The 24311-nt window shown below is 43.4% G+C and overlaps 1 long non-coding RNA gene across 5 annotated transcripts in view, besides 1 other annotated feature; it reads right to left on the bottom strand.

Moving 5' to 3' along the window:
- Window positions 1–16596: 16596 nt before the first annotated feature.
- Window positions 16597–24311, bottom strand: part of LOC101928331 (uncharacterized) — an 84318-nt gene continuing 76603 nt past the window's right edge. For 3 of the 5 annotated variants that reach the window (XR_001743994.3, XR_001743996.3, XR_001743995.3), the window contains one exon: window positions 16597–23871. This is a non-coding gene — a long non-coding RNA (uncharacterized LOC101928331). The remainder of the gene's footprint in view (window positions 23872–24311) is intronic. The other 2 variants (XR_001743997.3, XR_001743999.3) reach the window with 2 other exon arrangements.
- Window positions 23056–24255: an enhancer, noted in NCBI's record as "BRD4-independent group 4 enhancer chr6:14508670-14509869 (GRCh37/hg19 assembly coordinates)". NCBI's record gives its function as "activates an origin of replication core promoter dependent on BRD2, P300/CBP, MED14 and CDK7 cofactors, and independent of BRD4, by STARR-seq in HCT116 cells {active_cell/tissue: HCT116}" and the evidence as "EXISTENCE:reporter gene assay evidence [ECO:0000049][PMID:35650434]".

The raw sequence follows: 24311 nt of genomic DNA, 5'->3' as shown, positions 1-24311 counted from the left end.
GAGCCAATTGGAAGAACTCAAACACAGGCCAAAGTTTGGTGTATTTCAGAGTCAATGTCCATTTCTCACAGTGATGATTTCAGCTCCCCATCTTGCCCAGGATTTGGTATAAATGCAGATACAATGTGCTCATGCGAGCATGTATATGTTCCATGTCATTTAGAGCTAGAAACTTCCCCAGAGAGGGTACCACCCACGGCTATCGAAATAGCACCAAAATGCTCCACAGGGGAAATATCATGAATATGCAGAGACTCTTAATTTTCTTCTTTATTTTCTTTACATTACATGGAAAATCTGTCAAAACACTTTCTTTAAAGGATAAAGGGTTCTGCTTCTTTTTATGCATGCTGTTTACTTGGGGGATACGGAATCGTTTCTATCAGGCACTTGATCTTCTCAGAAGTGTTTTCTGGGTTTGCAGGAGGGGAGGGCATGTAGAGCAGTGCTGATGGCATCAGCCTAAACCTCCCAATCTATAGGAATAAAGACGGCTGCTGGACAGACACATGGTGTCTGCTCTGATTGCACCGCCTCCCTGGTCACAACCTTTCACTGTGGTCATTCTGGTAGAAAAAGAGCATACCTAGGTTTCAGACACCTGGAGCTTTTTTTTTTTTTTTTTTTTGAGATGCAGTCTTGCTCTGTTGCCTAGGCTGGACTGCAGTGGCGTGATCTTGGCTCACTGCAACCTCCGCCTCCCAGATTCAAGCGATTCTCCTACCTCAGCCTCCCAAGTAGCTGAGATTACAGGTGCCCACCACTATGCCCAGCTAATTTTTTTTATTTTTAGTAGAGATGGGATTTCACCATGTTGGCCAGGCTGGTCACAAACTCCTGACCTCAAGTGATCCACCCTCTTCGGCCTCCCAAAGTGGAGCTCTTACCTCTAAGAAGGTAACCATGATATGAACTTCCAATGAACAAATAGAAACATGGGTCTTTACTTCAATCCAGACAACATTTTCATCAGACCATGCACCCAGGGCTGCTCCCTGGGCTGTGACTTGTGCAGTCTCACAGGGTCCTGTGTTTGGTTTCACACTCTGCTCTCACCATTTTGAAGTCCTTACTAATTTTTTTTATAAAAGGCCCTGCATTATCATTGTGTGGGAACTGGGTTCTGCACATTATGCAGCCAGGCCTGCCTGCAGCCTCGGATTCTTCACCCTGGTAGGGAAAGGTGTATGTTTGGAGAGTTTTTTGTTGTTGTTGTTGTTGTTTGTTTGTTTTTTAAGACAAGGTCTTGCTCTGTTACCCAGGCTGGAGTGCAGTGGCCTGATCATGGCTCACTGCAGCCTTGACCTCCCGGGCTTAAGTGATCCTCCTGCCTCAGCCTCTGAGGCACTAGGACTACAGGCACACACCACCATGCCTGGCCAATTTATTTTTATTTTTTGTAGAGATGAGGTCTCCCCAGGTTGCCCAGGCTGGTCTCAAACTTCTGGACTCAAGTGATCCTCTCATTTTGGCCTCCCAAATCACTGGGATTACAGGCGTGATTTTTTTTTTTTTTTTTAATGCTCAGCCTAGATGGTTTTTTTATTTTATTATTATTATTTATACTTTATCAGAGTTTGCTCAGAGCATCAATGGAAAAGAAAAAGGCCCTAGTTCTCCCACTGCAGCTCACCTTCCTGTCAAGAGAGAATTCTCCAGGCAGGCCTTTTGCGTTGCTTCTGCCCATAAAAATATTTAACAAGAGCTCCACACTGCAGAATTGGAGGCCCACACAACCTTGAAGGGAGGGCTTGTCCGAGTGATGGACCTTGGCCTTCTTCAGGTGGACACTGTCAAAACCCCAGATGGAGGAAAGCTTTACCCTTTGTTTTTGAGAACACCTTCATCATTTCTGAGCTTCCTAGACGTTTTATTTCCAAGGTCAATAATGGGATTTGCTTGAAAAGCTTCTGAGTTTATATGCTGAGATTATACATAAACAAACTCCAAATATCTCACCTTTTGGTCAACAAAAATATCCTGAACTATAAACTTCCTGCTACTCAGTCAGGCAAATGAGAACCACGATATTGAGAGGGCTGTGAGTTGTTCCCATTCACTGTTTCACAGTACTCACTGTTTGACTGTTTCACAGAAGCTTAATTGAAACCTTTTACCCATTTCACCAGGTGAAGAAATGTCAATCCCCTCTGCTTTTGTTGCTCTCCACATCTCGGAGTGTGGGTAGCAGAGCTAGCTGGTGGGCAGAGCTGTGAAAGTTCATAATGAGAACAAAGGAACACTCAAAACTTATCTAACAGGGGCTCATGCCTGTAATCCTAGCACTTTGGGAGGCCGAGGTGGACGGATCATCTAAGGTCAGGAGTTCAAGACCAGCCTGGCCAACATGGTAAAATCCTGTCTCTACTTAAAATACAAAAAAACAGCTGGGCATGGTGGCAGGCACCTGTAATCCCAGCTACTCAGGAGGCTGAGGCAGGATAATCGCTTGAACACAGGAGGCGGGGGTTGCACTGAGCTGAGATTGTGCCACTGCACTCCAGCCTGGAAACAAGAGTGAAACTCCATCTCAAAAAAAAAAAAAGTATCTAAATAGATGTTATCATAATTTTAATTTTTATCAAAGTAGTACATATACACAGTTTACAGTGCCAAGTAGTATTACAAGGCATATAAGGAAAAAAAAAATGTACCTGTCATCCATACCCCTGAGTACCATACCCCTGAGACAACCCATTTTAATTCTTTTAGTGTTATTTCTTGTATTTACATCCACTTGTCTAAGTGACACACTTACTATTCATTAATTTTTCCAATTTGGATATTCTCTATTGACTTGTATAAAAGATATCTGGGAAATTTTATATGGAAAATTTCACAGATACCTTTAGCCATACACACCTGTTTGTGTTTGCATCCTACATCCTCCCAATATAGTTACATGAAAATACATAGCTAAATTATAATTAGATGATTATGTTATTATAACTGTGGAAATTTTGTTCACAGTGAGGATACATAGCATATTATGATTATATTTTCTTTCTGATAGTACGACTCCTTGTTTTTCCTGGAGTTAGTCATTGTTTGTTTTTTAATTTGTCTTGTTTTCTGTGTTCCTATAACTAATACTTTTACCAGATTTCCCAACAAAAGAGATCCACTGATTTTCTTGGAAATATGTTCCCTGGGGCTTCTTCCTTCTCATTCTCTAGATTTGCTGCACAGCTATCATCCTGGTATCTGTCTCATCACTTACTAGGAGATTGTAAATGTCCCTCTCCTTTGAAAGATCCCCTGTTCCTGGACCCCATGTCTTCCTTTCTTAATTTATTCTCTTGTTTTGGGGGAGCATATTCATCAAGGCATTGGAGGTAAAGTTTCAGGCTTGCGTATTTGAAAATGTCTTTATTTAATCCTCACACTTCGTTGATCATTTAGCTGGAACAGAATTTTCAGTAGGAAAAATTTCATCTCAGTTTTCAAAGGCATTGCTGCACGGTCTTACAGCTTCCAGCATTGCTGTTCAGAAGTCCACCCATGATCTTCATTCCTGATCCTTTGTAAGTAACTCCAGAGAGACCATCTGGGTCTAGAGATATTTTGGGGCTGGGGGAGGATTTAAAATTACAAACTCTATTTTCTTAACAATTACTGGGCTATATGAGCTCTCTCTTTCATATTGGGTAAGTTGCGGTAGTTTGTATTTTTTTTTTTTTTTTTTTTTTTGAGACAGAGTCTCGCTCTGTCGCCCAGGCTGGAGTGCAGTGGTGCGGCTCAGTGCAACCTCCGCCTCCCAGGTTTCAGCAATTCTCCTGCCTCAGCCTCCCAAGTAGCTGGGACTACAGGCGCGTGCCACCATGCCCGGCTAATTTTTGTATTTTTTAGTAGAGACCGGGTTTCACCACATTGGCCAGGCTGGTCTCAAACTCCTGGCCTCGTGATCTGCCTGCCTCAGCCTCCCAAAGTGCTGGGATTACAGGCGTGAGCCACCGTGCATGGCTGGTAGTTTGTATTTTTTGAGAAATTCGTCTATTTCATCTGAGTTGTTAAATTTATGTGTGTAGAATTGTTTATAGTATTCTCTTATGATCCTTTTAATATCTGCAGGGTTCCTAGTAATGTTTCATGTTTAATTTTTCTTTGTTTCTTGTCTTTCTTTCTTTTTCTTTCCTTCTTTCCTTCCCCTCTTCCCTTCCCTTCCCTTCCCTCCCCTCCCCTCCCCTCCCCTCTCCTCCCCTCCCTTCCCCTCCCTTCCCTTCCCTTTCCTTCCCTTCCCTTCCCTTCCCTTCCCTTCCCTCCTTCCTTCCTTCCTTCCTTCCTTCCTTCCTTCCTTCCTTCCTTCTCTCTCTCTCTCTCTTTCTTTCTTCTTCTTTTGTCTGAGAGAGAGTCTCACTCTGTCACCCAGGCTGGAGTGCCAGTGGTGTGATCTTGGTTCACTGCAACTTCCACCTCCTGGGTTCAAGCAATCCTTCTGCCTCAGCCACCTGAGTAGCTGGGGATTACAGGTGTGCACTACCACACCTGGATAATTTTTGTATTTTTAGTAAAGATGGGGTTTTGCCATGTTGGCCAGACTGGTCTCGAACTCCTGACCTCAAGTGATCCAACAGCCTGGGCCTCCCAAAGTGTTGGGATTATAAGCGTGAGCCACCGCACCTGGCCTCCCATGTTTAATTTCTTATTTTGGTAATTTGTGTCTTCTCTATTTTTTCTTTATCAGTTTTCTTAGAGGTTTATTGATTTTATTGAGCTTTTCAAAGAACTAGATCCTGGTTACATTGGTTTTCTCTACTGTTTTTTCTGTTTTTCATTTAATTGATTTCTGCTCTGTACTAGTGCCTTCTGTCTGCTTACTTTGGGTTTATTTTGTTCTCCCTTTTCTAGTTTCTTGAGTTTGGAGCTTAGATTATTGATTTGAGATTTTTCCTCTTGTCTAACGCATGTATTTAGTACTATAAATTTGCCTCTTAGCACTGCTTTAGTTGTATCTTAGAAATTTTGATATGTTGTATTTATCATTCAGTTCAATGTAGTTATTTTTTAAATTTTCCCTGAGATTTACTCTTTGACTCATGGATTATTTAGTGTGTACTTTAGTTTCTAAGTATTTGGAGATATTTTTGTTTTCTTTCTGATATTGATTTCTACTTTGATTCCATTGTGGTTGAAAACAGTCTGTATAATTTCAATTATTTAAATGTGTTGAGGTTTGTTTTATGGCCCAGGATGTGGTCTATCTTGCTATATATTTCATGACTACTTGAAAGGAATTTGTATCTGTTCTTGTTGAGTGGAGCATTCTATAAATGCCAATTAGATCTTATTGGTTGATGGTGTTGTTGAATTCTTCTGTGTCTTATATCAATTTTTGATAGAGGAGTGTTGAAGTCTCCAACTATAATTGTGGATTTGTCTATTTCTCTTCAGTTCTATCAGTTTGTGTTCACATATTTTACAACTCTTTTATTTGGCATACACATTTAGAATTGCTGTGTCTTCTTGGTAGATTGTGCCTTTTGTCATTATAAAATGTCTCTTTCTATTTCTAGGAATTTTATTTGCTCTAAGTCTACATTTGTATTAGTATAGCCATTTCTACTTTCTTTCATTAATATTTGCCTGATTAATCTTTTTCCATCCACTTACTGTCAACCTATTTATATTATATGGGCAGCAAGTTTCTGTAGTTGGTATATAGTTAGATTGTGTTTTTTAATCCCCTCTGCCTATCTTCACCTTTACTAAAATGTAATAAACCATTTTCATTATTACTGGGCAAGGGTGGGAGCTCCAGTTTCACATCCAATTACTACTGATATTGTATTCAGGGTGGCCTCAGTGGGTGGTGGTAAAAGGGCTCACTTGCTATTGGGCTTCTTCTGATACTACCCTGAAGGCAGGGAGAGGGTCACCTCACAGCTTTGTGAGGGTGAAATTCTAGGCTGTCTACGAGGTCTTTTCTTGTGTGGGTGAAGGTGGGTCACAGTTTTTCCTGTGATGTATGCCTGGAGCAGAGCAGTTCTTGTCTAAATATTTTCTGTCTTGGTAGGCTGCCCATTTCCTCAATCTTTGACTCAAGATATTTTTTATGTCTGTGTCTTCGGTGTTTCTTAGTGTAGCCTTCTTCAGCAGCAAGTCTAGAATACATGGGGCAAAAATAAAAACCCAGGAAACTCACCATCACATTGTTCCTTGAGTTTTGAGGTCCCTAGACAGTCTGCTTTCTTCTCTCTACCTTTCAAAGTCTTCTTATATTTGTTTCACGTACAGTTTTTAGGGTTTTCAGTTGTACTTTGCAGGAAAAGTAGGAATGACACAGAAATTCCTGATTCTAAGGTTTTGGCCTAAACCATGGGGAAAAAGGAGTTGTGGAAGAGTGAGGTGAGAAGATTGCGGGTTTTAAGAAGGATAGAACCAGAATTTTGTTTGGAAATGTGAAGTTTTGAGGTGTCGTTAAAGACATCCAATTGGAGATGTCAAAGAAGCCATTGAGATTTCTATCTCAAGTCTGGAAATTAGGGCCAAGTTATGAACTTGATTTAAATTGAGGGTTGTGAAATGATATTTAAAGATTTAACTTCCAAGAGAGCAAACATTCCAATTCCTGAGTCTCCCCGGGGTTTTACCGTGTGAATCAATGAGCTTCACTGGGGAGCATACTTGGGTATCACATCCCCCATCCACCTGTTTTCAATTTTCCAAATATTTTTCACATCTCTTGTCTATTCCTGCATCACCTGGCATTCTTTAGGTTACTATGTGTTAATACCTTTTATTTTTTTTACTTCTACCATAATTGTAGCAGGCTTCAGGAAAAGCAAGAAATAAAAGCCTGTGTTCAAATCACTATGTTCAACCACAGAAATATATTTATAAAACTCTTATGTGAAATTATATGTTGACTGATAAGACTGAGCTTCTGAGTCGCTCTTTCTGCCAAAAGCTGACGAACCTCAATTAGCCTGCTTTGCTCAATCCAATTTAATTGGGTAAATTTCCCATTGGTTTGGTTTATTAATTTGGTGCTGCCTGTTCTTTGTATACTTTAACCTTCCTTGGTCCTGCTCAGGGACTCCTAAATACATTTCTTTTCTTCTTCTAAAGACCATAGTCCTTGAATCCAAAACAGATCTATTAGAGTCCTAGCTGGGTGTAGTGGCTCACACCTGTAATCCCAGTGATTCAGGAGGCTGAGGTGGAGGATCACTTGAGCCCAGGAGTTCGAGGCTGCAGTGAGCTATGATGGTGCCACTGCACTCTAGCCTGGGCAAGAGAGCAAGACTCCGACTCAAAAAAAACCAAACAAACCATATATTAGAGTCCTAACCCTTAGTAGCTCAGAATATGACCTTATTCAGAGATAGCCTTTACAGATGTAATAAAGAAAAAATGAGGTCATTAGTGTAGGCCCTAGTTCAATGTAACTGGTGTCATTATGAAAAGGAGAAATTTGAGCAGAGACATGACACAACTAATGGAGGGAAGAAACACAGGGAGAAGATGACCATCTACAAGCCAAAGAGAGAGGCTTGGAGCAGATCAGTCCATCTATGGCCCTGAGGACAACCAACGCTGGCCACACTTTGATTTTTGGACTTCCAGCCTTCAGAACTGTGAGGCAATAAGTAAATTGCTGTTGTTGAAGCCACCCAATTCATGGTACTTTGTTTTGCGGCAGCCCTGAGCAACAAATCCACCATCTGAAATTCCACCTACTCCAAGAAAAATATGTCTGTGTTCATAATGTTTGCCCAAATTCTGTTTTTTTTTTAAATTAACCATTGATTTAAATAATCAAGTTGAAATTCTCTATTTGTTCTGCTATGCACTTGCTGCCAAAAACTCCCTTTCCCAAATTTTAACTTATTTAGAAAAGACACTGGAATGTTAAGGGGTATATTTTCCTTCCTTAATTTCCAAAGGCAGTTATTTGATTTTCACTTTCAAGCAAACTCCCTAAGTTACACAATATTTGGAAGAGGCTGGGGGCAAAACTTATCTTTCACTTGCTACAGCTTTATTCAATTATTTATTCATTTCTACATGTGTTTATCTCAATGACTGTCTCTTGAAATGAACTCAGCACTGTCCATATACTGCTGATCAAGACTTCTTCTGTCTCTCCAGAACTCACAGTCTCATGGGGAACATGCATAAACAATCAGTCTAGTGCAGTCAGTGGGCCAAAAGCAGTGTGTCCAGGGTGCTACAGGATTGTGCAAAGGCAATGACAGATTCTGCTTGGGAAAACTGAGCAAGCTGCCGTGACAGGGGACTTCCAGGCTCTGTCTTCAAGAATGTGTAACCCACAAGGCTGAGTTGTGGAGGAGAGAGCATTCCAGGGAGATCGAGATATGTCTGCCAAGGTTTGACGCATTTAGGGAATAGTGGCTCATTCAGAAACACAGGGCCAGGTCTAACTGTTTTAGAGCATGTCGCGTTGCATTGAAATCATCAGATCACCTAGCTGTTTCTCCCCAGCAGTCTGTAAGTTTCTGGAGGACATTATTGTCATTTGCTATATCCTAGTGTTTTTGCACAGTGCCCAGAACAGATATGAACCTGCAGTAAGTATGTGTTCAATTGATTAGAAGAAAGAAGGAATAACAGATCAAGTATCTGGAAACTTTTTTATTTCTAATTTTGAGGGACATTTTATACAGCGTAAAGAAGCTTGAACTGGGCCGGGCGCGGTGGCTCACGCCTGTAATCCCAGCACTTTGGGAGGCCGAGGCGGGTGGATCATGAGGTCAGGAGATCGAGACCATCCTGGCTAACAAGGTGAAACCCCGTCTCTACTAAAAATACAAAAAATTAGCCAGGCGCGGTGGCGGGCGCCTGTAGTCCCAGCTACTCGGGAGGCTGAGGCAGGAGAATGGCGTGAACCCGGGAAGCGGAGCTTGCAGTGAGCCGAGATTGTGCCACTGCAGTCCGCAGTCCGGCCTGGGCGACAGAGCGAGACTCCGTCTCAAAAAAAAAAAAAAAAAAGAAGCTTGAACTGAGGGTAGGAAGTGTGATGGCAATGGGTAGATGCAGGAGCCTCTGTCCATACTGGAGAGAAGCTGGCCATGGAGAGGGAGAAGGGGCCGCTGGGCACCTGGGCCCAGGTCTGAGTGGAAGGGCAGCCCTGTGGAGGGCAGGGGCTGGGGCTAACCACAGGGGAACTGTGCCCATGCCGTAGAGGGAGTGTCTGTGCCTTTCACCAGGGCATGCCAGTGAGTGAACAACCCTCAAACTCGATGACTCTGGCAAGGCTGATCAAGAGAGAAAGAGAAGACAGAAGTACTAATACCATGAATGAAAATGGACACAGTGACAGATAAAGTAAGGTCTAAAAAGAAAGTAGGGAAAACTATGAACACGTTTATGCCAACAAATTGGAAATGTAGACAAAGTGGACTGAACAATATGCTTTTTAGGAATACAGGATAAAAACTATCTTCTTAAAAAGTAAATGTGATGCTTAATTTCATGTGTCCATTTTACTGGACCATGGAATGCCCGGATATCTAATTCAAGATTCTGGGTGTGTTTGTGAAGGTGATTCGGGGAAAGATTCACATTTGAATCAGTGGACTGAGTAAAGCAGGTGGCCCTCTGCATCGTGAGCGGGTAGTGTCCAATCCACTGAGGGCCTGACTAGAACAAGAAGATGAAGGAAGGTTGGATTCGCTCTCTGCCTGAGCGTATGAGCTGGGACATTGATCTTCTCCTGCCCCTCAGCACTCCTGGTTCTCAGGCCTTCAGACTCGGACTAGAATCTCCACCATTGGCTCTCTGGTTCTCAGGTCTTCAGACAACATCACTGGTTGTCCTGAGTCTCCAGGTTGCAGATGGCAGATGGTGGGACTTCTCAGCCTCAACGCTTGCATGAGCAGATATCTTATAATAAATTTATTTATAGATAGATAGATAGGTAGATAGATATCCTATTGGTTCTGTTTTTCTGGAGAACTCTAACTAATACAGTAAACAATGATAAGCACAAGCTTCACTACTGCCATTACCAGGTGAGGAAGTGGGGAGGCAGGATGGATATAAAAGGTATAAATGACTCTCAGGGTTTTGGTTCTCATGTTGGATGAGAAGTTCAAGGGAATTTATTTATATTGTAATTATTTACTTCCTTAAAAGGAGGACCTGAGCCAATGACCAGAGTGTTTCAAAACCCAAGAATTATGATGAATTCAATTCTGTGTTTTTGAGGCCCCCAAAGGAAACTTCAAGAAAAAAAAAAAAGATCATTTCCATCAGGTCTCAGGAGAGTAGTAAGGGGTTGCCTAGCTGCAGCGGGGAGAAAAAATAAAGTACAGGTTAAACCCAGAGAAGGAGTCGTGTCAGTTGACGACTCTGTGGCACACAGTTTGGCAAGTGTTTTGCAGTATAGCAGGTAGCTGAGCTAGAGTGAACTTGTATTTTCTTCCTCTGCTCGGTTTAATGAAGTATTAGAAAGTCACCATCTCAGGTGTTCAGAAGGAAAGTTATCACTGAAACAGTGAATGTTGCTGCCTACAGGCAGCCAACTACTACCAGAGAAAGGGGACATAAACAGACCTCTGTTTTTTTTGTGTTTTTTTTGTGTTTTTTTTTTTGAGACAGGGTCTTGCTCTGTTGCCCAGGCTGCAGTGCAGTCACGCGGTCTCAGCCCACCGCAACCTCCGCCTCCTGGGTTCAAGTGATTCCTCTGCCTCAGCCTCCCGAGTAGCTGGGACTAGAGGCACGCATCACCACACTAGGCTATTTTTTTGTATTTTAGTAGAGACAGGGTTTCACCATGTTGGCCAGGATGGTCTCGATCTCTGACCTCGTGATCCACTCCCCTCGGCCTCCCGAAGTGCTGGGATTACATGCGTGATATTTTAAAGATCCTATAGCAGGTTGGTTTCTCCTGAGACTTCCCTCCTGGGCTTGCAGATGGAAGCCCCGTGCCCTCACATGGCCTTTCCTCTGTGCATGCACTCCTGGTGTCTCTCTGTGTGTCCAGTGGGATTAGGACTCAGCCTAATGGATTTGTTTTAACTTAATTACCTCTTTAAATGATCTATTTCCAAATACAGTCACATTCTGAAGTACTGAGGGCTAGGACTTCAAATAATAAATTTGGGGAGGGGGAACATAATTCAGCCCATAACCGATCCAAAGGAGAAGCTTCTAGACCTCAAGAGGGGACTGAGGGGAAAGAAGGTTAGGGTTGCCCTGGGTCTGTGAGTTAGCACATGCCTGGGCAGTTCTGATCCAGTACTCTAGGGTCAGGGTGCAATCCACCAAGTGAACAAGAACATGTGGATACGTGAACAAGAAGTGGCTGGAATGGAGACTGGCCAACTGGACCAACCCTCTCAGTTACTCATCTTTGGCCACCAATGCTCTCATCATTGTCACGGTGGAAAAAACAGACCCTAATTCCCCAGGTCCCACATGAATCACAGCTGGGGCTATGCTCCCGAGTGGACTGATGGACTGAAGCATACTGGTTGCACTTTGAACCACTCAAGTGACACACCCAATGAACTGAGCAGACAGTTATTATCGTCCACATTGGGCCACTGAGGTAACGGAGTCTCAGCAGGGTCACATGGCTTTCTAGAGACCCAGACTTAGTAAGTGGAGGAGCCAGAACTCAGTGCAAATCTGCCCAACTCCAAAGCCATGCATTTTCCATGGCATGCTGTAGAGACAGTGCTTTAAATATCTCATGAAATCATCTTAGTCTCTATGATGGTCAATTTTATGAGTCAAGTTGACTGGGTTATTGGGTGCCCAGATATTTGGTTAAACATTATTCTGAGTGTGTCAGTAAGAGTGTTTCTGGGTGAGATTACTATTTGCATTGGTAAACTGAGTGAAGCAGATTGCCTTTCCTAATGGAGGTGGGCCTCATTCAATCCATCAAAGAGCTGAATAGAACAAATGACTTAGTAAGGGACCATTCGCTCTCTCTGCCTGTCTTCAAGTTGGGGCATTGGTCTTCTCTTGCCTTATTACTCAGCCTTCATAACTGAGTGAGTCAATTCCTCATAATAAATCTCGATTGAATGATTGACAGATACATCTCCTATTCCTCTCCACAGCCCAGACTATTACAGACTCCCAAACACTTTGCTAATATTCTTCCACATGGATCAATAAGCTATTCACAAATCATTCTTGTTAGCTCAATTTTTAAAAAGGAAAAGCAATTTGATTCATTCCAATTGCTATGTCTAATTGAAAACAACAGTACAATATTTCCCACTTATCTGCATTTTTTTTTTCTGCCATTTTACTTTCCACGGTTTCAGTTACCTGTGGTCAACCACGGTCTGAAAACATTAAATGGAAAAGTCCAAAACCAAACAATTTATAAGTTTTAAATTGAGTGCCTGTTCTGAGTAGGGTGGTGAAATCTTGGGCTGTTCCACCCTGTCCTGCTTGGGATGTGAGTTATCCCTTTGTCCAGTGTCTCCACACTGCAGACACCAGCTGTCCGTGAGTCACTTAGTTGCTATCTTGGTTCTCAGGTCTACTGTCACAGCACTGCAGAGCTTGTGTATCAGTCACCTTTAGTTTGACTTAAAAATGGCCCCAGGCCGGGTGAGGTGGCTGATGCTTGTAATCCCAGCTCTTTGGGAGGTCCAGGTGGGTGGACTGCTTTGAGCTCAGGGGTTGGAGACCAGCCTGGGCAACATGAGACTCCATCTCTATAAAAAATACAAAAATTAGCTAGGTGTGGTGGTGCACACCTGTAGTCCCAGCTACTTGGGAGGCTGAAGCCCAAGAATCGCTTTAGCTCAGGAGGTGGAGGTTGCAGTGAGCTGAGATCATGCCACTACTCTCTAGCCTGGGTGACAGAGTGAGACCCCTATTTCAAAACAATTTTTAAAATATGGCCCCAAAATGCAAGAGTAGTGATGCTGGCTTATTGTTATAATTGTTTTATTATTAGTTATTGTTGTTAATGTCATACTGTGCCTAAAACTAATATTGAAATGAATAGATGTGTAAGTTTAGAAAAAAAACAGTATCTATAGGGTTCAGTACTACCTGATGTTTCAGGCATTCCTCCAGGGTCTTGGCACATATCTCCTGCAGATAAGGGGGAACTACTGTACCACTCTTAAAAAAATGTCCTCTATCCTAGATTTTTATGACTTAAGATTGGCTTTTCCCGGCAGGGCGCGGTGGCTTACGCCTGTAATCCCAGCACTTTGGGAGGCCGAGGTGGGCGGATCACGAGGTCAGGAGATTGAGACCATCCTGGCTAACACGGTGAAACCCCGTCTCTACTAAAAATACAAAAAATTAGCCAGGCGTGGCGGCGGGCACCTGTAGTCCCAGCTACTCAGGAGGCTGAGGCAGGAGAATGGTGTGAACCCGGGAGGCGGAGCTTGCAGTGAGCCGAGATCACGCCACTGCACTCCAGCCTGGGTGACAGAGCGAGACTCCATCTCAAAGAAAAAAAAAAAAGATGGGCTTTTCCCTAAAATAGCTGAATGAAGGAGCTTTTAAATGTTTCTTTCAATTTTTTTGCATCATAATATATAGAGTTATTTATTTAACTAAAAATGAATTATTGGACATAGGAAGAGAAAAGACATTGTTCTTTCCATTCTTAATATCAAATCGTGCTTATCAGGTAAAAGGATGAGACCAGTGTTTACGAGCGATCGCTCTGTGCCAGACAGTGGCTTGAAATCCTTACTCGGCACAGGCGATCTTTACAGTCATCGCCTTATTTAATGCGTTTCTTGGTCCCATGGGGGATGGACGGCTTCCCTGAGACCAGAAGGGAATCAGCTCCTTTGCTGGGAGGCTGCTCCAGTTTGTCAGGATTTTATAAATCCACAGAGTATCTTTAGCAAGCAAAGGGCTGGATTCCAAATAGAGCTGGATCCAGATGAACTTCTCAGGGTCGTCACAATTGGACACATGGGAGACAGCATCACACGGTGTGCAAAGAATCCCAGCTGAGTAATTTCTCCCAGATGCTCTCCTCTCTGTCCTGCAGAGTTGTTGGTTTTGGAAAGCCACATGGCCATCAAGGGCCTCTAACTTCAGAGGATATCCTGATAACGCCTGAGCCCTGTGGTTGTCAAAACCGTGAGGTGAACATTCAGCCTTAATCACAGTTCTCTTCGGCAGCACTTAAAAATGTAGTTGATGAATTTAACAAGAAACACATGTTTTCATTTAAATTACAATTAGCAATTAGAGAGTTAAGTGTGCCCTAGATAGAATATATAATCGTTGTTGAGTTTGTGGCATAGCTACTTTACTGTTACCATTCTCTTTTTATGTTTTGCTTTATGATTTTATGGTAAATTTATGCAGAAACTGTGAGAGAACCCGGAGCTAAGCAAAGCTGCAGGACTGAAGTTATTTGGCTTCTAAATAAATGGTCACCGGTCTAGGCCCACTGCAGATTCATTGCCTAGCACGATTCTCTTTGTTTTAGGAAATGTGGAAAGACATTTTACCTACCCTCCAACCAATCTGAGCTGGATAATTTGTTAGTGATATCTGCAGTGTAAATTACATACTTCTGAAAGTATCGTAGAATGATAGACTAGCTCTATCTACCTACTGATCTCTATGATTTCCTGAAAATTCAGAAAAGGAAAAGCAAGCCACCTTCTCCTTCAGAATATTCCGTAGTAAAATTACTATTTACCTCTGCTTTTCAGTGGCGATTATTAAGAGGAAAAAAAAAAGAGGCCAAGAAAAAGAGCCAACACATACTATTCGGGTGACAAGTCAGGTGCATTCCAGATGGTGGGGAGGCCTGGTTAATGGAATTCAAGGGGGAATCCACAGGGCTGGACGGCCAGGGCACAACCACTCCTGATCCATAAAAGGTTTCTGGAGCAAGGCAAATTGGCAGTCATAACGAATAATGAAGCCATCTAATGGGAACGTAATTCCTGGTGAGGAAATACCGTCCTCCCCCAAATAAAATAAAAAAGAGAGAGATATGGTTTATGGCAAAGTTACCAAGGAGGTTGAGTACCAGACAGATTACAGCCAAGACAAGTAATTGCATGTAGCTTGGAGACCAGAATATATAACTCCTTGGCACTAGCTAAGGAACCACAGCAGTTTCTAAATTTTAGCAAAACCAGACACAGAGGTGAGGGGAGATTACTCTTCCAGGTTATGCCAGAAATCAGAGACTTTTGGCAGTGTTTGGGCCACATGTAACTGTAGACATTGGAGAGAATGATTTCTGAATTTCTTTAAAGTCATATGCGCCAAGGGGAAGGGAATAATTTGGTTTCTTCAAAACAACCAATATTTTAGTTTCACTTGCAGACACATAGACCTGTCACTCAAATGGATCGTCTTTTCCTTATTTTCCTAGTGTTTAATTAATGTTTCCAGGTCAAAATACCAGAATTTTTTTTTTTAAGTTTCCCTGTCTAATGCTGCAGGAAATAAATGGTTCATTGGACTCTACTGTTGTCCAAGTTCACTGCTCCACACGTACAGCAAAACTTCTTCGAGAAGACAGAAAGCCAGGTTCTACGTTCTCCTTCCGCATTGTTTTTCATTTCGTGGAATTGTTTGTCTCCTGCCTCGGGGACAGGGAGTAAATTTTCCTCGACACACTGACAGCCCTTGTGCAACATCTGCATAACGATGGAATTTATTTTGTTCATTATGACTGCTGCAGCGCATGGGGCTGTATTTCACTCCCACAGACGATTTCTGTTTTCATAAATTATCCAGCATGCTCCTCGTGGAAATGGCTGGCAGTCTTTGGAGAACTGGCAAATAATCTCTGAGTTGTCTCTGCTTCTTCATTTTGGTTATTTCTGTGTCATAAAAGTTATGACCTATCAGACAGAAGAAGCATCAAGAAGGCCTCTAATAAATAGTATTCAACAAGCTCCAGACAAATCTAATAACAGCCGTGGAGGCTTCAAAGAAACCCTAAACACCTCCCCAGCCCGAGAGCTCAATGACTAAGGCACCTTCCTGTGGCCACCAGCACCCGTTTCTGCTTGAAGCATTTTGTTTTCTGTGTATTGATAGAAACTTCATTTTGCTCCCTTATAGACCATCCAGCTCTGTGGTGATCTTTGTGTTCTTAACAATGCATCTCCCCTTTGATTTTTTGAAAACATAGCAGATATAAATAGAAGCATTCTATAAGTGCAAAAACAAACAAGGACCCCCAAGTATTCTGGACAAAAGCAGGGCCCTCGCAGAAGTCCCATCAGATGTTCAACATCAATTAAGACTTCACATACCATTTTCTTCCTCCTCTTCCATTTATCTCTTTCTTAGGATTTGGCACAAAAAAACACCGGCCTGGAACTGGAGTTGTAATTTGAAACAGTTGATCTACAGTTCAGGACACACTCTGAAGGGTCTCCCAGCATTGCCTTACTGAAACATGCATAGTCCCCATGGAAGGGGAAGGTTCAACCAAGGGGGAGCTGGACTTCAGGTGGATGGGAAGGGGGCTGACATGAAATGTGACCCTAGGAGACATGCTCTGTCTCTTATTTATCCCTGAGATAGCTTGGGAAGAGAACTAAGAAGAGGGTAAACTGGGGAGACGGTTTTCTACCTGATGAAGTCTGAGCAGAGCAAGAAATCATGCCGCCCACTCCCACACCCTTGCGCCCACCAGAAATAACAAGGCTCTTCTAACATGGTAGACTCGTTTTATTACAGAAGTTTTCAGACTGCTGGATGATTTGTTCTTATGGTCTCGGGGTCCAGGTGGGGTAGAAATGGACTGAAAGGGAAGGCAGGCAACAGACAGGCTTGGTTCTTTGTCTATGAGGATCACCAGGTTTGTTGTTGGCCACCTATTATGCAATGTTGTGCTTCACATCAGTTGGGTGGTGCCATGACCTTTATGGAGGCACCCTGGGCCGTGCATCATGGAGCCGGTTCTCCTGCATAGCCACCCAGCTGCAGCCCTATAAAGTCTCGCCACCTCCCAGGGGTTGCCTTGGAGCAGAACCCTGGCCTCTGCCAGCCTTATAGTGACTTGAACCCCCTTTTGCTCCCATTCTCGTGTTTTTAGCATCGGTCCTGTCTGCCTATTCAACCCAAAAATGAATTTCCTTAGCTGAGTCTTGACTTGCCAAGCAAACATCTGGGTATCCATTATATAAATGCAGCCCCTGAAACAAATGAAAAGCTTCTCACATTCCCGTGGGGCAAGGAAGTGCAGAAGCCTAGGTCCCAAAGCTTCACAAAGATTCACTGACATGTGCAAGTGAGGGCAGGGTGGGGAGGGTGGAGTGTAGAAGTAAGAGCAGGGAGACATTTATTCTTCTCTGAAATTATAGGACAGGCTACTAATACTACTAATAATAGAAATAATAATTTCTGAGCTAATACTGCTAAATCTTCCATATCCCAGATACAATATTTAATACTTTTATAGGTTTTTCATTGAATTCTCATAACTTTATGAGGCAAATAGCATTTCCTTCATATCGTAGATTAGGCCAGGGATGGAAGTTACACTTTCATAAAGCGCACTGTGCTGGCCACTTTAGATATCTTTTCATTAAATTTTTACAGCCCTGTAAGATATCAAATTATATCCACTTTACAGACGAGGAAACTGAGGCAGCTGTCCTGTTCAGGAATAATTCAAAAAGGTTATAGTTATCAACTTGATGAACATCAGTATGAAGGCTCCTAAATGCAGAGTTTAAAGATCCTCGCCACACCACAGTTCCTTGGGGAAGTCAGCTCTAGGCTAAGATACCCTGGATCCTACACCCTCCCCCGAGTGTCTTTCTGCAAGTTTTTCTGAATCAGTGGTCCTGGTGTCCTCCAATGTGAACTCTCAGGCCTATGGAGGTTATTTAAAAGGAAGGAAGGGCCGGGCACGGTGGCTCACTTCTGTAATCCCAACACTTTGGGAGGCCAAGGCATGTGGATCACGAGGGCAGGAGTTCGAGACCAGCCTGGCCAGAGACACAGTGTTTATTAAGTGGATACAAGTAGAAGACCAAATGAATGCTAAGTGAAAAATTCTATTTGTAGTTCTCACTTCTGCCCATTGGACTGCTCTTCTCTCCTTATGGTGTAGCAACGATAACGCTACTTTTTAAAAAGCTGCATAATTACCTTTCATTGTCACTGAACACTATTTATTGATTTCTACTTGATGTGCCAGTTGCCTCTGAAAATCATGATATCTGCTGATGGACAAATTTACAACATGTGCATGTGACCAAAACTTGTGCCTCTGGTGCAAAGCCACAAGTTTAGAAATAATAAGGATTTAGGAATTCCTTCTCCAGTGCACCAAGCTGAGCCGTCCCTTGCCAACCTGAAAGGTGGACTGAACAGAGCATATCTCCCTCCCCACTCAGTGCCCACCTCCCCTCCACCCTTCGGACCCAAAGCAGTGAAACACTGGGCTATTTGTTCCCCAAAACCACAGCATGAAGTTTTCCAGCAATGGCAGGAAAAAGTTTCTGCATTCCCCAGCTCCCCCATTCCCTCCCCTTCTCCAATTAATACCAAAGGTTTCAATTATCCTGGAAATCTGAGCTCTGGTATGTTATTAGAATCCTGTTTCAGGAAAACACATTCCCAAGCCCCCACGTCCTATGGAGATTTTTCTTTCTCCAGAAGTCACGGGGTAAGACTGTTATCTGAGATCCTTCTCAGGAGGTGGTTTGTTCTTTTCCCCTTTCATGGAAGGCTTTTTCTAGTGAGGAGTGGGATCCTGATGTGATGGGGCCTCGGTTGCCTGGTGGTTAGGAAGTAAGAGGAATTTGAGATTTCCTTCTTGGTGCTTGAAGCTGGCAACATCAGAGAGCCTGCTTCGTCTGACCACCAACTGACACCATTCACCTCTGACCAAAAAGTGTGCTGCTCTGAGGATGCGTCTTTGTGAAACTACACCTTTCCTTTTTCTTTTCTTCTCTTCTGAGCCATAGTATAAATTCCTTTAGGGGAAGATCAGATACTTTATCCATTTTTTAAGAAAAGTAATCAAGAACTAAGCCTACTAGATATGAACTGAAAGAAACCACAAACCCCAAACTAGAAAAAACTATATTCATTTGTCAAAAATGGAACTTCACCCAAATTAACATCTGAAATAGATTTGCTTGAACAGCCACAACTCAGCACTGGGCAAACATTACATTTTAATTTTTTTTTTTTTTTTTTTTACAGTTCTCCAACTAACCATTATCAATTTTGCTTCTCAAGCCTGGGTAGATCAGGAAAAATGAAAAATTTCAAGTTAAAGATGTAAGTGTCTTCGTATGACAGAATTTTAGAATTTTCATAGTCAGGAACTTTCCAACCTCTTCTGGTTAAATCAATCACTTTTCTGGTGATTTTTCAGTCAGTTCAAAAATGAATTCCTCACTGTGGTAACCATGTTTCAAGATGGCCCCCAATGAGCCTCACTTCCTGGGATTCGTACCCTTGCGGGATCCCCTTCATCGTGACACCAGGGCTTTTCTTTGTGACCACTAGAATATGGCCGAAGTCATGCTGTCAGAATTCTGGGGACAATGCTGCTTCCACTTTGGTCTTTTGGATCACCCTCTCTGGAGGAAGCCAGTTGTCATGTCATGAAGACACTTAAGCAGCAACTCCCTGTCAACAACCAGCACCAACTTGGAAGACGAGTGAGTGAGCCACCTTCAAAGTGGATCCTCCAATGCCAGTCAAAGCTCCAGATAACTGTCACCCTGGTCCAAATCTTGACTGCAGCCACATGAGAGATCCTCGAGACAGAGGCAATGGCTAAACCACTCTCACATTTCTGACTCGGACAAGCTATAGGAGATAATATATATTTAGAGTTGTTTTAAGCCAATAACTGTTGGGCTAATTTGTCACACAGCGACAGATAACACATACAATATCTGAGCTGTTTCTACCTCGCTCCCTCTTCTTTCCATGATGTCTGGTGTGCAGGGCCAGGAGCCTGTGTGACCTCAGTGGTGAAGGACAGGGATCTTGGGCCTGTGTAGTGTCCCTGGAATATTCTGGTCTCTTTGGTGATCTGGGTAGGGTTGTGTACTGCTTGGATCTGGTCTCTGAGCTGCTTTCTGCTGATGAGACCCCTATCAGTTATTTTTGTGGTTTGTTCTCTTAGCTCAAGTAGGGTTGGCAGCTCTCCTCAATAGGCCTCCCCTTCAGCTCCTGCCAGCACTGCAGACCCATTCCTGGGTTCAGGTTGTCATTCGTGAGCAATCCCTGATCTGGAAGTTCTGCCCTGCAGCCTTCAAGGGCTACTGGTCACTTTGCCAAGGCTTCTGCAACCTTTCTGGCAGTGTTCCAGTTCACTTCTTTGACCACCTTTCTTGTTCCCATGGGGTACAGGAAATTTCTGGATTCTTCCATGGTGCATGAATGCCAAGGGAATGTCAGGATTGCCACCTCAGACACTCACACGAACAGTACCACACCATCATTTTTTTCTTTCGACTGCAGCCTCAGGCTCATTCCATGAGAGATCACCCTTGTGGAGTTCCAGAGAGGGAGAGGGAACTAAACCCCTCTGCTGGGGGCTTTCTCGTCTGCTCTGGGCTGCTGGAGGGTCAGGACACACGTACCTGATCATTTGCTGCAATTCCTCTGCCTCTCTTCTTTCTACACTCCATAGGAGGCTTGACCAGGATTTCTACTTCTTCTGTTGGAAACTCCTTTTCTGCCGTGACTGCCTTCTTCCCCAGGGCAGTAGACCTCCCAACCTGTCAGTCACAGGCAGCAGCGGCTTCTCTATATGGTGGAAGGAACCTTGTGCAGGTTTGCCAGGCTGTGCTCTTGGTTTGGGAGCTGCAGTGCAGTGAGGAATGAGGCTACTGCAGATGAAAATAAATGGATTTAATAGGCTCAAATTATTATCCTCATTATCCATTAATTTTGACTGAACTATAAAGTAAAGCACATTTCCCCCCTCAATAAACAAACTACACACACACCAAACCAGTTCGAACTGGAGTGACACGAATATATGTTCTTTAACAAGTTTTTCCAAAAGAACTAGATCTAGAGCATCAAAATCACCTGCAAACTGTACCTGTAATTCATTCAGTTCCAAACCTTGTGTCTGAAGTCAGACTGGTGCAAGAGACAGGTGGAGTTAAGACACATACAGCTACCTTCTCCGTATATGGATCTAGCTGTTTTGTTTCGCCCAGTGTCTTCTAAAATATTTGATTACAAATAACTTTTTAAAAAGTTACACTTGTTTATATACTTGGCACTCTCTTTTTCTTATGGCATATTTCAGGAACTGCTACCTTTAAAGTCTTCTGCTCATAAAACCAGCCAGAAAAAAAGTTAGCAACTCTGAAGCAATCTTTGGGATTCCTAGGCTCCACCCTTGAAAGGGCACTGGGCCTATTCCCAACTGTTGCTTGGATGTTCTTCTAGATCAGGCTCACAAATCAGCAACGCCTAGGATAAAGCCAGCCTTGAGATGCACTTTGTTTCACTTGGGCACATTTTGGCTTTTGTGCATTTGAGAATATTTAAATAACACAAGCAATCTCCAGTTGCCTCCTTTCAGAGGCTCGTGGACACAGTCAGTGATGTGCTATGGGGACTGTAAGAAAGTCTCTGCTAAATGATAGGAAGGAGGGAGTGGCCATTTTTATCTGGGAGGATCAAGAAAGGATTCACTGGGAAATGATATTTGAATCAGAAAAGATGAGGCAAGCTTCACCTAGAAGCAAGAGACAGAGGACATTTCAGGAGAGAGCAGTGTCGTGGAAGCCAGATTAAAATATGTGTATAAAGCAAAGGGAAATTTCATATTTTTAAAAAATGGGTATAGAGGGGGTAGGCAGCAGAGTCAAATATTTCAGAAAGAGAAAGTAAAATGTGTCCCAAAGAAAAATTCAGTTGGATTTATAACATGAATGGATAACCTTTGTCTCAGCAGGGCGGGCTCCGTGGAGTGCTGGGTTCTGTGGAGTGCAGGGCAGGTTCCAGGGAGATGGGTCAGGACAGCAGATTGCTCTGGTTGAAGATAGGGAGATGAAATATAGACTGATTTTTCCTGGGTTTGAGTATTAAAGGAGGGAGCTATATAGACTGTAGCTAAGGGAAAGTTGACTGTCTTCTCAAAAAGGGAGAGTGTCGAGCATGTTTGTAGGCTTTGGAGAAGGAGCCAGTGGAGAGGGAAGTGTTGAACCTACAGAATAAATGCCTAAAGCATCTTTCCGGGGAAAGAGGAGTAGGGGTTAGGCAGCACTCATCAGTGCAGATACCAGCACAGAAGTGGTGGACCATCCAGTTGGTCTAAGAGTGGGGTTTGCTGAGCAGGATTTGTGGAAAGGCAAGGCGTGAAGACATGAGAGAACACTGAAGGCAGACAGTGGTTGGAGCCATGGACCTTAGATCCCAGGTTCAGACAGGAAAGGAAGCAAAGCCGTGATGGGAAGGTTGATAAGAGGTCTCCCTGACAACATCTTACAGTGCATATTTTGAGGTCTGTATGTTGAAGCCTGTTAATTGTTCGATGCACTAAAGCAGATTTGGAGAACCCTTCCAGCTCATTCATGCCCACTAGGGTGCGTTAGAACTGATTTGAGCAAAACAGAAGAAACAATCCACTTCCCAAGTGGAATGTAGTTCCCTGAGATTTTCTCTGCCTTTTCGAGTTATCAAAACAGTCTCCTTCACCCAAGTCTTGAATAAGTTTATATTTCTGTTATGGTAAGCCTTCTTTGAAAGACGCTTGATACTTCATCGGGAGAAGGACAAGAACATTCGAATCCATAAAAGGTAGTATTCATCTGGATGTTCAACTGGAGCTGAGCTTATGGTCCCAAGTTCCTCAGGTTCACCCACATGTATGAGCAGATGAGGCCACCTCACCAGCAGCACAGACCATAAGACCTCCAGTCTCCCCAGCTAAACCTGGGCAGCCCCAGGAGCCTACTGTATGGATCTATGAACACTTCTAGATCCCTTGCCCACAGTCATGTTTTCTGGCATCCTCACAGCCGTAAAACCCGTGTGCCGGCAATGTGACATAGTGTTCTTTATGTTCATATGTTCTTTATGTCCTTATGTGAGACCCTGAGGGCCAATGGGTGGAGGCCAGTGGGTCGAGGGGCTGGCAGAGCTTGGTGGAGTGTTCTGTCATCCTCCACTGTGATCGAGCACAGGGAGAAATGCCCTTCCCTCACTCTGCCTGCCACTTTGTCACCTGGCTTGGAAGCAAAGCCTCACACGGAAACCACCCCCTCAGCTTCTCTCTCTTTCAAGGGCTCAGATGAGGAAGGCGGCAGACCCCATCTGATCCTCTTGTGTTTTCTCTCTCTTCCTACAGATACCCCTCTACAAGCTGTCTTCCTCACGGGCATCCTGTCCTCAAGAAAATCTAACACTCTAAAAGATTCCCACAGTCCATTGGCCCATCAGGTCATCTGGCAGGAGGATTTTGATCTCATTCTGGGCTTATCCTGAAAACCTGCTCAATGCATAACACAGTTTGGATATGCCTGTAGGGTCTTTTAAGTTGGCCACTCCCTGCCCCTGCCGCAGGTCTGCCTTATGGGAAGTCCTAATAGATTTTTTTTTCCAGTATACTTTTCTCACGTCTAAGAATTCTAATTTGAATATTCACAAACGTCTCTTGGTCCCTGATAAAAATCAATTAAAAGAAGCTGGTAGTAAGGAAGGCAAAAGACAGGCAAAGGGAGGGTAGGGCAGAGAGAGTAGCTTTTGCAACCTGGTTGTGTCCATCTGCTGAGGTGGTCATAACAAAGTATCCCAGGCTGGGGGACTTAAAGAACAGAAACTTATTTCCACGCCGTCTGGAGATTGAAAGTGTGAGATCAAGGAGTTGTGAGGGTTGGTTTCTTCTGAGGCCTCTCTCCTTGGCTTGTAGAAGGGGGTCTTCTTTCTGTGTCTTCACCTGGTCATTCTTCACCTGGTCATCCCTCTGGATAGTATCTGTGTCGTCATCTCCTTTTTTAAAAAAACAAAATAAGGATACTAGTCATATTGGATTAGGGCTCACCCATAGCGCCTCACTCTACTGTAATTACGTCTTTAAATAAACTATCTTCAAAGTTACATTCTGAATTATATTCTGAGGTACTAGGGGTTAGGATTTCAAAGTATGAATTGAGGAGCGCACAACTCAGTCATAATGTTGGCCCTGGGGGAGTCAAAAGAAGGTGAGGGCAGTGAAGCAGGGCCTTATATGAGACCCTGAGGGCTACTGGGTGGAGGCCAGTGGGTTGAGGGGCTGACAGAGCTTGGTGGAGTGTTCCATCATCCTCCGCTGTGATCGAGCACAGAGCCATTGTGGGCAGAACTGAAGGTGAGTGGCTTCGGAAAATCCCCTGTGCTGTCATGCACTTTTATTAGTTAAAGGCTTCTCAAAGATTTATCCACCTTGATCA

Source organism: Homo sapiens, chromosome 6 (genome assembly GCF_000001405.40).
Source record: "Homo sapiens chromosome 6, GRCh38.p14 Primary Assembly".
Lineage (NCBI taxonomy): Eukaryota > Metazoa > Chordata > Mammalia > Primates > Hominidae > Homo > Homo sapiens.
The sequence above is the reverse complement of the archived record's forward strand: the minus strand, read 5'-3'. Positions and strand labels throughout refer to the sequence as shown.